The following is a 15570-nucleotide window of genomic DNA, read 5'->3' on the forward strand; positions in this document are numbered from 1 at the left end:
ATTTATAAAGAATGGCACTTACTCTAATCATTCATCCATCTATTTCTATATACAGACAGTCTCTGACTTTCAATGGCTTGACTTACAGTTTTCTGGCTTTTTTGTACCAACTTCAATGTCTTGTATTCAGTACATTACATGAAATATTCAACGTTTTATTTTTATAAAACAGGCTCAGTATTAGATTATTTTGTCCAACTGAAGCCTAACCTAACTGTTCTGAGCACGTTTAAAGTAGGCTGGGCTAAGTCATGTTTGGTAGGTTAAGTGTATTATATCCATTTTCTACTTATCATACTTTCAACTTATGATGGGTTTATCAGGACCTAATTGCAACATAATTAGAGGAGCATCTGTATTGACAGTTCATACAATAAAGATATTGTAATGAGAACACTTACCATTGGGAATCTCACAATCAAGGGCAACTGCAGTCTCATATGTCCAACATCGAGCAACATTACGGATTGTGTAGCCACCTCCTCCAAGCATCAGTAATGGTAAGTTAAAAGTTTTTACAACTTCTACACATTTAGCATGACCTAAGACAAGAAGATTTGGGTAACAACAAAATCTGCATACTGCAACAGTTCGAAAAATAAATTTTAAAAAGATAATAAGTGCAAATGTTACTCAACCAAAATGGGTTTTCTAAATATTTTAAAAACAAATAAAAATGTAAAAAATGTCAAGTCTAAAACTCCTTTCCAAACACGTTATACAATAATACATATTAAAAAATTAAGATATAACTAGCTATTTTAGCAGGTGTCCCTGATGGAAAAGTCAAGTACACAACTATATTAAGATTATAATATGAATATACACCTATTTTATTAACACAGAAAGATGTTCATGTAGGGTTACATGGTGAAATTCATCATGTTACAATAAAACATTATGTATCATCTAAATTAATTTTTATTGACTTTTCTTTCCCTATGGACATGTGTAAAATAATTATGGAAAGCTAAACAACATAGTTTAACCCTGAGTTAACTTTAGGTAGTGGTACTGAGTAGTTTTCCTAACTTAAGAGTTAAAAACATCTATTAATTTTCAAAAACTTCAACTTCTACGTGTAGAAATTTAATATTAATAGTAAACCTAACATAAAAGTAAATATTTTATGTGGATAAATGTCATAATTCAATAAACATTTATAAGTTTCCAGTAAGTTCCCTTCTCGGAATATTACCAGTTAGGCACATAACTCAATCTTTAAAGAAGAAAAGAAAATCCTTCAATTACAAAAGACATTTGTGCATACTGAAGAGTATTTGGGAAAAAATTAAAAAGGGACAATGAAAAAACTAACCACCTAAAAATGACATTATTCAAAAATCGTTTTTCTATATTTCCTTCCATTTCAGAGTTAATTTTACAAAGTTTATCTGTTCTCTTCATGTAACTGTATACTGTGGGAATTTTCATTAAGCATTCTTCAATAGTTGCAACATGTGATTTACATAATTCTAGCACTCAATTTTTATTATTGCTACTAGAAAAGTTTCTTTTAACAGATAAAAACCATTTGGATATTTTTAAAGAAAAAACAAACATACTAAAAGTTAACTTACAGGCTTCCAAGTAAAGATAGCTGGCTAAACAAAGATGTTTACTTTTCCTTCATCCCAAAACTTGACAAAAATGACTCGAAAGGGATTTTTTTAAAGGCCAAAATTTGTAAAAATGAAGAATGGGAGACAATACAAGAGGAAGAACATAGCTGATGGCAGCAAGGAGATGGAAAAGAGATAACTAACTTCAGCAGATCTGAAAAAGCTGAATCAAAGCTGGCAGCAGAGAAACTCAGAATGAAGTTTAAGACTTGGAATTACAAATATCCTTACACGCTTTATGCAACTGAAACTCTATTAGCTGAAATACAAAGTAAATTTTTTTCTAAGAGTGAACTGCTGCAGTTTATGATTATAAAAAATATTAAGTACAAAAACATTAAGGACTTTCAAGTCAAAGAGGAAAACTGATAGTTAATATACACTTTTAAGAGTACATTAGGTAGATCATTTTAGAAAGTTTATAAACATTTTGAGGCAAAAGATGGTTATTAACACATTAAGTTACAATATGAAACTGCGGTTCAACCACTGTTGACCTACAAAGGGACAATTAATTTAATATCATTCCACTTAACATAGAATAACAGATTATACCATAATTCTAATATAGCTGGTATAGTAGCAATCATAACATTAAATAAAGAAGCTTTTAATATCTGTATTTAGTTATCCAATTCCATTAAGACCAGCAATTGTTCTGGAGAAAGTTCTATTTGAGAATTCTCCACATCTTAGAGAATACAAAGCACACTGTCAACTTGCTACCTAAAAGTTCACGTGGAAAAAAACCTCTAAAATCATACACAAACACTCATGATAAAAATCATTTCTAATCTACATATACATTATAATATCTTATTAAATAAAATTTCAGATTTATTCTTACACCCTAGAAGTTCATTCCAGAATGGTGATATTTTGCTTTGGCCTAGCCTTCAATCATATGCTGATTTCAACACATGATCAAAATTTAGTATGTACTGCAGCACTCCTAATCCCCCACACACTTTTTATCAGGAAGCTACTTCAGAAGGCACTCCACCAAAACATGAGAAAAAAATTAAGGACAGAGAACAGAGCCACCAGGGAGAACCAATACAACAGAAAAAAAGCAGAGAACAGCTATGTGTCCTGCCAGGTCTACCAAAGATAGTCATCCAAACATGAACAGATGAGAAGGCTGTTTTTCAAGAAGGTGAAAGTGACAGAATATTCAATGAATCTGAACACATGAAGATACTGAGACACCAGTAGTTCAGCAATAAGTGGAGAGAAAACTAAGCAAATGAGAAACTTAGGAACAATTATGCAGCAAAGAACAACTGGATAAGCTGAAAAGTGTTTAAAGATGCTGCCGTAAACACTAAGTATCACAATCAAATTCTGATTTGTAAAAATAGAGGTATGGGAAGGGTACAAGTATGTTGTGGGCAAAATGGTGAGGAGAGCTAAACCCTCTTCTTCCTTAATGAGAAATAAATAATCCAATTAAGTAAAAAAGTATGCATGTTTTATTTACACTGAGTCAACAACCATTCAAAAATAGCTGCCTTGGGTTCAAACTACAATAAACCTTAAAAAACTAGTCTTGTATAAATGTATATATAAATCTGCCATAATGAAACAAGAATAACTCTAGTCATACATACAACAGACAAAACCCCATGAAAAATGCAGAGTACAGTGTTAAAACAGCAGGCAAGAAACTACAATGAGAACTTTTACGGGGAGTTCTTGGGTGGAAGAAAAACCATTTTTTTCTGGAAATACCACCCTTTGAATTGCTTACCTTTGACTGTTAGATTGAAACAACCCAGTCTATCACCAGATAATGAGTCTGCACCACACTGTAATACCACAGCACTAGGTTGATACATCTCCATCACCTTTGAGATAATCTACACACAAGATAACAAATGTTAGCATCTCCAATAACATTCTGAAATTCCATTCCAATTGTGAAAACAATAATACTTACAGGCTTAAATATCTGCCCATATGACTCATCATCTATACCATCTCTCATTGGAAAATTGACAGCATAGTATTTGCCTTTTCCAGCACCAATATCCTAAAATACATAATTAAACTGATCTTAGAGAATATTCTATAATAAAAAGTTTGGCATTTGTTTACTACATTTTGAAAAGACTGAAAGACTAAGTATTAAGGATCCAATTTTGAATTCATCTTAGAAGTTGAGACCGGAACAATCAAACTGAGAAAGGAAATAATAAACAACAAATAAGTATATGCTCCAATATTTATAGACTGCTTGTAAAGCATACAAGAACCATTTTCAATTAATCTGTAGTGATTATTTTTGACAGAAAAGAAATTTAACACAAGTTAAAGGCAATGAAATTACATTACATTAAACCAGAAAATCCATCATAAATAGAATATTTAAGATGACAAGGCAACTTTATGAGTAAACCTGTGGAAAATAAATTAAGCCAAAAAGCCCTGCCGGACAATCATCTGCAGAATCCTTCTTGTGGTTCACAATCTGTTGGTATGAGTTTACTTATGATGAAAGAACGACCCACACTTTCTCGAAGATTTAACAGCTACCGACTAAAGCACCAGATTTGTTCTTTTTTTTTTTTTGAGACAGAGTTTTGCTCGTTGCCCAGGCTGGAGGCGCAATGGCGTGATCTCAGCTCACTGCAACCTCCGCCTCCCAGGTTCAAGCAATTCTCCTGCCTCAGCCTACCGAGTGGCTGGGATTACAGGCATGTGCCACCATGCCAGGCTAATTTTGTATCTTTAGTAGAGACAGGGTTTCCTCCATGTTCAACAGGCTGGTCTCAAACTCCCAACCTAGGTGATCCACCCACCTCGGCCCCCCAAGGTGCTGGGATTACAGGCGTGAGCTATGGTGCCCAGCCTCAGATTTGTTCTTAATTGGACTTGGACTTCAAACAAATTTTGTTCCTACTTGTTGAATGAGTACCACTCCAGGCATTAATCTCTCTCAAAAGACGCAAAGGTTCCAGCTACATATACTCTTAAATGATATATACATATATTATATATACTTACTTATTTGTATATGTTATGCATTTGTAGGTGTGCATATGCATTTCTGTGTGTGTATACGTATTCCTAGAAGATACTGTATAGTACAGACATTACTACAAAATAGTATTTTAACTGCAATACCAAAGGATTGGGGTGTGCCTCTTTGTTGTTTTTTTTTGTTTTTTGAGATCAAGTCCTGCTCTGTCGCCCAGGATGGAGTGCAGTGGCATGATCTCGGCTCACTGCACTCCAGTGAGCCAAGACAGCCTCCTAGGTTCAAACAATTCTCCTGTCTCGGCCTCCTGAGTTGCTGGGACTACAGGTGCACGCCACCACACCCAGCTAATTTTTTTTGCATTTTAAGTAGAGACGGGGTTTCACCATATTGGTCAGGCTGGTCTCGAACTCTCGACCTCAGGTAATCCACTCGCCTCAGCCTCCCAAAGTGCTGGGATTACAGGCATGAGCCACTGCGCCTGAGTGGGGTGGGGGGGGGGTGCCTAATTCTTATGTGCGTTGAATGATAATGTCTGAAGATCCATGAATTTTCAGGATTACTAGCACTTGTGCAAGTTCTTCTGAACCTCTCATGGAATGATCTTAGCTTCAGTCCAATTTTACAAAAGCAAAATTTACCCTCAATATTAGAGTTATGAGACCCAACATCCAACGAGGAGAAAGCAAGCAAAATTACACACCTCCTCTCCCAATTTTTCTTGAAGTCTAAGTTTTTATTAAGATTAACTAAATACAAACCATACAAATATGGAAAAGCCAAAGTATTGTGAAAACTTTACAGTCCTACTGCACAGTTAAAACACAGATGAAATATATTTTGACCCTAAGATTTCAGAATACAGAAAAGTTGGTCAGCACTTCTCATCCTAACTGCTACTAACTAGCTGGCAACTCAGAGCTGCTGCCCTTGTTAGACATAGCTTTCTCTCTTCCAGGTTTCATTCTGCAACTGCTACTATGCCACCTTTCTTTCTTCCACTAGACTACTTGAATTAAAGCAAACAGTTTCAACAATGAGCTAAACTCAGAGTAGCCTTCTTTTCAGCATGAGAATGAATTAGCAGGCAGAAAAAGGAGTGTTTATTAAATTAACATCCAAAGATACACGTGAATTACACAGAAAGTCCAAAAACAGCTGTACATATAATGTAATGACTGATTTTAATTCTCTTACGAAGTTATGGGGACATGCTTAAAATATTCAAATGTTATCCTGAAAACATCAGCAACTGTAAAATCTTTTTTTTTTTTTTTTTGGCTGAGTCTTGCTGTGTCGCCCAGGCTGGAGTGCAGTGGAGCGATCTCGGCTCACAGCAAGCTCCGCCTCCCGGGTTCACGCCATTCTCCTGCCTCAGCCTCCCCAGTAGCTGGGACTACAAGCGCCCACCACCACGCCCGGCTAATTTTTTGTATTTTTAGTGGAGACGGGGTGTCACTGTGTTAGCCAGGATGGTCTCGATCTCCTGACCTCGTGATCCTCCCACCTCGGCCTCCCAAAGTGCTGGGATTACAGGCGTGAGACACCGCGCCCGGCCCAGCGATTGTAAAATCTTAAGTGAGAAAAAGAGATGTTGAAAGCCATTCTCAAATCCTTCTAAAACAGCATTCTCTAATATTTTCAAAAACTTCAAACTGTAAGAATTTTGAATAATAACTGAGATGAGACCATAGTGACATCCACCTGTCAGAAATTAAATGAAGCTTCCATTTTCCACTTCTGAGATAAACTAGCATCACACTGCAAAGATACTGTCTTATTCTTTAAGCTTAAAACAGAGAAGACTTTTGCTTGACTTCCACTAGGATGTAATGGTTGTTGACAAATGTATTCTATCAGTTTACAGCAGTGGTTCTCAAACTTTAAGGTGAAGAATCACCCAGAGTTTCTGGGCCCTAAGAATGTGTATTTCTAACAAGTTCCCAGGTGATGCTGATCTGCTTTCCTCAGTTTAGGCGCCACTGTTTGAGAAGCACTGGTCTGTAAGATAAGACCAGGTGGGGAAAGGGAGAAATTGAAGGAGTTTACTGGCAAGGAATTGAAATTACAAATCTGCAATTTTAAAAGCTAAATAATTTAAACTCAAACCAAACATTTGACCTCCCACCCATTTGTAAGTATGGAAAAGTTTCAGTAAGGTAACTCTTTTACTCAAAGAGTTTACTGAGAAAGTATCACACTGTGATCTAATAAAGAAAAGCCATACAGCTTAAGAATACTTTATGGCAACTCTTTAAACTTTGGTTGCTAAACTGTAATGATATACCACAGATGTGAAAAATAATCTTAATAAAATAGTTTAAAACTTTGTTCAATGCCATATAAATCTCCCATATAATCCAGGCTGAACTAAAAACAGCTGTTTAAATTATTGAATAAATTTCGACATTTGTATAGTTAGGTTCAAAAAAAGTGTAGTGAGGCAAAAAACCTTCAATGAACTTATAGAAATAGGATTTGACCAGTGGTTTTCAGAGTCATAAAAGACAAGAGCATCAAATGGAAAAAGATAACAAATAAAATAGAAATACACTTAATGTTAACAGGCAGGCAAGGTTACACTATGGTATCCTTTCTCTACCTAAATACATTACCAATTTTAGAAGCTTAAAGAAAAAAAAAGATTAAAATTAGATCTACTAAAAATCAAGACCAATCACAAAAGAGAGGAGCAGAAGAACCTAAAAAGACCTAGTCTATTTTATTCCACCATTCTTTACAATCAATAGCAACGTAGGCTACCATCAGGTAGTTTTGAAGATTCAAACTGAACATCAAGAGAAGGGCTTCATGCTTTGTGGATATTCAAAAACATTTATTCAACCAAAGAAAACAGCTGAGAAAAAAACTGTCCTTAAGTTTTCACTAAATTTTTGCTTATAGTCAGCAACAGTGAATTCTAGCAAATGTTACTGCATACGTAGTAATTCAATTCTGCATACAAGTTTCAAATTATTAACTCAGGAGAAAAATACTACTTCAAGTATAGGATTACTGATCTCCTAGGTTCATCTCACAATATTTTTTCAGACAGAATTTAGTCTTACCCTCAAGTCTCCTGTGCCAGGAAAGTATTCCCCATATTTATGGAATGATACCGTCATTACACGATCTGTTGTATAAAAAGCTTCTTCAACACCATCACCATGATGAATATCTATATCAATATATAAGACTCTCTGATGATACCTGAAAACAAATCCATAAGTTTTGGTTTTTCCTTTAAAGGTTCTAAGATGGGAAGAAGCACCACAAATTCAGGAAACCCATTTTTGAGCTCTTGCATTCCAGAATGTTTAATCACCTTTTACATTCAGCCTAAGAGGTTATTCAAATATCTGAGGTTTGAGCCTCAGGCCTTTAAATACCCACTTGTGGCCCAATGTAGGTTAAAAAATATATATTTACTCTTTGTGAAATCTGTTCTATTCTACATGCTTCAAAAACATAGCACATATTTCTAATATATTAAAAACTGAAGATTATACCATACTCAAGATTGTTAATTAAAACACCTCTGTAGTAAATCTTCAATAGTATAAAATAGGGATTGGCTAACTATGGCCCATGGCCCAAATTTGGCCAATTGCCTCTTTTTTCAGCTTTGAACTAAGAAGTTTTTATTATTTTTTAAATGGTTTAAAAACAAAACCAAAACAAGAGTATTTTCTGACGTGTGATAATTATACAAAATTCAAATTTCAGTGTCCATAAAAAAAGTTTTACTGAAAGACAGCCATGCTCAATTGTTTATTACCTATGGCTTCATTTGAACTGCAGAATCGATTAGCTGTGACAGAGGCTACATGTGGTACTCTCATGACTTCAAACTGGTGCTTGGAGCACCACAGATTAGTGACACAGTTGTAACTCAAACGCAGTTTAGGAGTCACATGAATCACCATGTCATGACATTTTGTTACCAGTGTATACTCATGTCAAAATAAGGGGAAAATGGACTTCTCATGTCATCCTTTTGAAGTATAGTGAAGTGAGATATTATTAGATGGCAAAGCATTGTATTTATTATATAATGGTGCCATAACTGTGCTAAATAAAACAATACAATGTAAATTGATATTTCCAGACTAAGCACTCATAAGAATATTCTCATAACACTATAAACAGCATACCATAGTACAGCAAAATTTCTTCACAAAATTAAAAAAACAGAAATGAGGCTGTGATCAAAATAAAGTTTCTGAGCGGCTCACGTGTTAGATAAGCAAGGAAAGCTGTGCACCAAGTCAATTAATTAAATCATGTTTGATTACACCACCCAAAAAAATGTGTCCAGACAAATTAAAGTTGTTTAAAACTATTAGCTGAGTGGGCAAGAACTTGCTCAAAGAGTTGAAGACACTGGAACCAACATCAACAGTCAATTAAAAAACAAGGCAAATGATTGCAAATGATTTTCCTTTGCTCCTGATGAGCAGGCAAGATGTTACACTGATACTGCTCAATCACTGTTTATTTGAGGAGTCAGTATCAATTTTAAGTTGACTGAAAAGTCAGCCTCTATGGATAGCATGCATGGAATAACTACAAGCAAAAAACACTAGCTCAGTATAATACAAAGTAGAATCTGCTAAGATGTGTCATAACTGATGGCAAAAAATAACTAACATTGCGAACATCCAAATTCCTAAGTACCTCTATAGATCTCTCTCTCAAACTGCAGCCACAGATAAGGAAAAATAACTCCTTCAACAACTCAGAGATAATTTTATATCCATCAGTAGAGAACAAAGCCTCATTCAGATATGGAAGTTAGGCAGTTAGACTAACTCAATAGGTAAAAAAATTTCCTTTAACACTGGCTTCAAATTTTTGTCTTCAGTTTAAAACATCCAAAATACTAGAATATAAACTTCCAAGGTCATTGTCATTTTTTACTAGTTGAAACTAACTAAAATGAAAATTGCCAAACTACTTTTAAAAAAGGGTATTTAATGGGAGTTTTGACATTTATATACACTTCTAATTCTTTTTTTTTTTTGAGATGGAGTCTCACTCTGTAGCCCAGGCTGGACTGCAGTGGTGCCATCTCGGCTCACTGCAACCTCCACCTCCCAGGTTCAAGCAATTCTCCCACCTCAGCCTCCTGAGTAGCTGGGATTACAGGCGCACGCCACCACGCCCGGCTAATTTTTCTATTTTTAGTAGGATGGGGTTTCACCATGTTGGTCAGGCTGGTCTCAAACCCCTGACCTCATAATCCACCCACCTCGTCCTCCCAAAGTGCTGGGATTACAGGCATGAGCCACGGCACTGGCCTTTTATACACTTCTAATTCTTTTTTTAAGGCAGGGTCTCACACTGTTGCCCAGGCTAGAGTGTAGTGGCAGGAACATGGCTTCCTGCAGACTCAACTTCCTGGGCTCAGGTACTCCCACCTCAGCCTCCTGGGTAGTTGGGACTACAGATGCATGCCACCACATCTGGCTAATTTTTTTTCTGTAGAGATGGGGTTTTGCCATGTTGCCTAGCCTGGTCTCAAACTCCTGGGCTCAAGAGATCCGCCCACCTCAGCCTCCCAAAGTGGAGGGATTACAGGCCTGGGCCATAGTGCCTGGCCACACTTCTAAGTCTTAATAATTGAAGAATTGGGCAAATTTCCTGCATTTCTTCATTGTTTTGTAATGAATTCATAGAAAATTCACCATTAACTATTTCAACCTATGGTTTACCTAATATTTTTTAAAGCCATAGACTTTATTTATTGTGTTTTAATGAAAACACTTTATCACTGAAAAGAGTATCAATATAAATTAACATACTTTAGTAATTCAAGGATGGCAAGCACAATATCATTAACGTAACAGAATCCTGATGCTTCTGATTTCTTAGCATGATGTAATCCTCCAGCCCAATTAACAGCCATATCAGTCTGTTGTCGGTTTAACTTCACAGCTCCAGCTAAGAAGTAGAAACAAGATAGACCTTTTAAACATTTATCATAAAAAAGTAGTAGAATGAGACAAAAACACTACAAGTGTATGCCATGCATAAGCAAGAGCTTAAAATCATGAAAGTTAACAGAAATCATCTATAACACAAATAGGAGTTACTCCTTAGAAAAATATTCTCCTAGAGCTGCAACCTGAGATTAAATAATGGTTTATGTGGAAAGTGGTAGTAACAATGATACCTAGAAGACAAAGGGAATGAATGAAGTCTCCAAGTGAAAATAAGTTTAAAAAGCGTTTAAGTCATAATCATAAAACATAGAGGTTTGAAAGTAAATTGTACTTTACTATAAACATACTGATTTCCTTTTGTTATCAAAATTCACAATCATTAAAACTTCTGTTTTACACAAATAACCCGAAAGATAACACACCAAGTTCAGATCAACTTTTAAATCTGATTGCATTAGCACTTACCAACTGAACCGCCAGTTGAGAGCTGACAAAACTCAAAGAGTCCATCAAACACTGGACAATCTTCTCCAACATTAACTGTGGAAGATGGATTTCATTAATTTCAACACATTCTGCAAATTAATGAAAGCCTTTTCTTACAAAAACTATTTCCCACAAATACTTTTTTGCTTGATGCAATCATCAAACATACACTTCACAGTATAATATAAAGTTTCCAACTTTAAAATATATTTATTGTTTTATCCAAGGTAATTAAAGTGTTATCTGTGAAAGATCATCAAATCTTATCAGGATTATCTGTGGAATATTTCTGTCTATTAACAAGAACTCAATAGTTGTCTAAGTACAACAATTCTTATTTAATTAAAACACAGGCTTAAATTTTCTAGGCCTTTCCCCTTAATATTACAATAAGTTAACATTCTAAAAGCAACTTCAATTGCTTTATAATTTACTTTCTTTGAAACTCCTTAAATACCTATAATATCTGTAACTTTGAAATGCATGTCAGTAAGTTACTAAACCAAAAAGATGTAACAGCTGGTTGCCTATTCCCATGGCTAATCTTGATCTTGAAAGTTGCTAAGAATTAACTAGGTTCATGGGAGCCAAAACATAGGATACTAAAGACAACAAGGAAAACATTTACAGATAAACGATCACACATTTAGTTCCTTAGCACTGAGAGAATGAAAGGATATGGCAGATGTATGTAACCCTTTCTTAGTCTTTCCCTATGCCCTTGAATTGTAACCTCTTCAAGAATAAGGGTCCTTGTTTTGTATATTAATATCTTTGTATACCCTTAAGTCACAAGCACTATAAGAAATGAATTTTAGTTTCTTACTGCACAGAGAGATCATAATCTTTTTTTTTTTTTGGAGACAGAGTCTCACTCTGTCGCCCAGGCTGGAGTGCAATGGCGTGAGCTTGGCTCACTGCAACCTCCACCTCTGGGGCTCAAGCAAGCAATTCTCCTGTCTCAGCCTACAGAGTAGTGGGATTACAGGCGCGCACCACCACACCCAGCTAATTTTCTGTACTTTTTTAATAGAGACAGGGTTTTGCCATGTTGGCCAGGCTGGTTTCGAACTCCTGACCTCAGGTAATCCACTCACCTCCGCCTCCCAAAGTGCTGGGATTACAGGCGTGAGCCACCACACCTGGCCAGGATCATAAGCTTAATAGAACTCATTATTATGTGGGTTTTAAATCAATCCTGTTATGTTGTTTGCCCAAGGGCTACTCATGCCTCTTTTGCATCTAAGTTGGAATCTTCATTGAAAAAAAAAAAATTAAATACTACATGTTCTAGTTACATTGTAGCATTATAACAAATCAAACAAGATATGGCAGAAATGTGTATGAGGTTGTAAATATGAGATGTCTAGCACCTACACTAATTTAGTATAATCATCACTGAAGTCAGTCAATACAAACACTAATGAGAATGAACTTTGGTATCAAGCTTTAAAAGATACTGTTCCAATAATTTTAGGTTGACTTTTGCATTCTACCTTCAAGCCAATTTGTTACTAATCTCTAAAAATAAAATACTTTTAACCTGTACAAGAGAACATTACGTAGAATCAAAAGCTTCACTAATATCTTAACAAAGAAAAAGAGATGTGTATTATAGTCCAGGTTAACTGAAGTACACAAAGACAAGACAAGAGATATGTACATGCCAAGCTAAGGCTAATCAAAGTGTAATCTTGTTTTTGTTTTTTTGAAGCGAGGGAGTAAGGGAGTGAGGTCTCCCTACCAATATGTATTAACCCAAAGTTATCAGGGGAGCAAACTAGGAGTAGAAGAATACCCAAACAGCAGTTTTGCAAACCAATAAGCTTCAGATAGGTTTACTTTTTTCTTAAGTAGCTTTAGTAGTGTTAAAATGACTTTTCAAATCAGTAAATAACTGTAACATATTAGACCAACAGGAAAAATATTCAGATTTAGATCATTCTAAGCTCCTAAAAATACTAATTTACATTTATCAAAGCAAAACTACTTTTTACTTAGAAACGTACATCTCTGCATCTGCTTACTATACTCAGACATGTTATCTGGTCTTATTGACCGTAGAAATTTGATATACTCATCACTGTGATATTTTGTCATTTCTTCGGCAGTGGCTTTATGGGGCCTCTGTGAAGAGAAATAAATGTCAGAACTGTGGAATTACAACCGGTTATATCAGTATTATCAAACAAATATACAAATTCCCCTATCGGTCCCCTCAAAAGAACCAAGTCTACCAGAACAAAATATATAAATTCCAAAACTAACCCAAACTTATATGTGTTTTAGAAAACAGTAATCAATCTCAAAACTAATTCAAACTCCTTTAAAAGCATTACACAGGCATATCAACTATGATTTAATCACTCCTTATTTTAGTGGAAACAGTTCGAGTAAAAAGTCAAATCCATATGTTCATAAACTCTACTTTCTCTCCTTTTCCATGATAAAACATCCAGTGATTTCATCAATGAAATCACTCACTACAAGAGTTTTCAATTCTAAATCTTTGTTCACGACCTCTCGTCCTTTTTTCTATCCTAATCTTCCTTGTTCCGAAGAGCTCAATTTCACGTATGACACAATTCTTCCACAAGACTTCCAGACTGAGTCTTATTCTAACTTCCCCTCTTCTCTAAATGTCTACATGTAACTGAAAATAATTCACATATTCACATATATTGCCTAGCATTAATTGTTTTAAATATTTCTTTTCTCCCCAAATAGCTAATTGTCGTGTCTGTATTTGTTTATACATACCCTCATCTTTATCTACAAAAACATTAAGGCAGCTGTTGCACTTGTGTTATCTGTACTATGCTTGGCCACACTAACACAGTATTCCATATGTATTATATGCCCTGCAAATATTTGTGGGATTAATTTTATGTGTTATTATTTTGTAACAGTCCCAGGTCAACTCTTTTCAGCAGCACAGGCAGATTAACAATTATTGTAAAAAAAAAAAAAAAAAAAAAAATACTTAATATGCTACACTGAGTTGTTGCTATACTGAGTTGTTCTCCAGAACCATGAAAGCCTAGGGTAGGGGGAACTTTTTTAAATGGTTAAAGGAAAAGGAAAAAGAGGGTATAGCTCTCATTCTTATTCATCTCCTAAGAATAAACGAAAAAAGAAGTTTGTTTTCTTCCAGATCTTTTCATCTGCTAAATGCCCTCAAAAGGGGAATAATAGACAAAGTTTCACAGTAGCTAAAAAAAAATAAAAAAGATCAGTGCTGAATATGTATTAAAAGGAATACTCACATATATTTCCATTTTTCTGTATAAGCCATAATTTAACAGCAAGTTATGGGTCATGCGGATTCTATGAGGCTTCATGGGATGACCCTGTCCATAATAATAATTTCCAATATCACCTAAAATAGAAAAGACACAAACTAAACAATACAGACAAGAGACCCTCCATGAACTATTTGAATTTATGTATGTCTATCATTAGAAGGCATTTACTACTTAACAAAATTTATTTAAAACCTTAGCAACTTAGATTTATTTTGCAACTTTCAAACTGTATCAGATGACTAAGACGCTACGCACACTTTTACCAGCTGAAGACTCCATTATTACACATTATATTTATTTGTAGATTAAGGAAAGCAAGCTTTTCTGATTTTTAGCTACCCCCAATTTTTAAAATTTCTGTTCCTTGAAATGATGCCTGCTTTCTGTATTCTCTGGCAAATTCACATGCTTTTAAGTTCTCTGAGTTTTATTGGTATGATTTAAAATTTTTTCAGCAAATACTGCTTTTTGGATGATTTGCTGGCATTTCAGAAATCTCATAATTGGCGTTTTGCATGTTAAAACATACCGTGTCCATATTAAAGCCCATCAGGGAAGTTTTGGTAACTGAAATTTAGGTCCTAAATGAGGTTTTGCTCCACTAAGACACAGCATTACATTTTTCAAGGTAATAAAAATACTGTCTCATTCTTCATGACTAAAAAGTTGTAATTCCTAGCCTGTCTTTTTAAACGGCATCTTATATCACAATGTCTTTAAACTTATGCATAAGATTTAAAAAAGAGAAAATAACAAAATCACAGATTTTCATCAACTAAATTTCAATAAAATTAATACTTTTAGGTAAAGCTCCAGTGTTTCCTATAATAGTAAATAACAAGAAGCCTCTCAAATATATAAAGTCAACCCTCTGTATCTGTGGATTCAATCAACTGCAGACTGAAAATATTTTTAAAAAATAGATGGTGGTGTCTGCTGGAAACACGTAGAGACTTTTTTTCCTTGTAATCTTCCCCTAAATCATACAGTGTAACAACTATTTACACTGCATTTGCATTGTATTAGGTATTATGAGTAATCTAGAGATGACTTAAAGTGTAAGGGGAGATATACATAGGTTATATGCAAATACTATACCAGTTTATTGAAGGAACTTAAACACCCATGAATTTTGCTATCTGTGGAAGTCTTGGAACTAATTCCCCACAGGGTCAGGACAGTCAAGCTATTTTAATGGTTTGAAGTCTATCATTTCAACACGGGTTTATATA

General features: G+C 34.9%; 1 protein-coding gene across 4 annotated transcripts in view; it reads right to left on the reverse strand.

Annotated features, from left to right (window-relative positions):
• HDAC2 (histone deacetylase 2) overlaps positions 1-15570 on the reverse strand; it is a 38121-nt gene that overhangs the window by 12579 nt on the left and 9972 nt on the right. For all 4 annotated transcript variants that reach the window (NR_033441.2, NR_073443.2, NM_001527.4 and 1 more), the window contains 8 exons: positions 14300-14412; positions 13043-13160; positions 11013-11087; positions 10407-10545; positions 7671-7812; positions 3562-3654; positions 3373-3481; positions 402-542 (listed from right to left, as the gene is read on the reverse strand). Coding sequence is in view for 2 of the 4 variants with exons in the window: in NM_001527.4 (NP_001518.3) it covers positions 402-542; positions 3373-3481; positions 3562-3654; positions 7671-7812; positions 10407-10545; positions 11013-11087; positions 13043-13160; positions 14300-14412 (930 nt within the window). In the remaining 2 variants the exon portion in view is untranslated. The remainder of the gene's footprint in view (positions 1-401; positions 543-3372; positions 3482-3561; positions 3655-7670; positions 7813-10406; positions 10546-11012; positions 11088-13042; positions 13161-14299; positions 14413-15570) is intronic.

Source organism: Homo sapiens, chromosome 6 (genome assembly GCF_000001405.40).
Source record: "Homo sapiens chromosome 6, GRCh38.p14 Primary Assembly".
Lineage (NCBI taxonomy): Eukaryota > Metazoa > Chordata > Mammalia > Primates > Hominidae > Homo > Homo sapiens.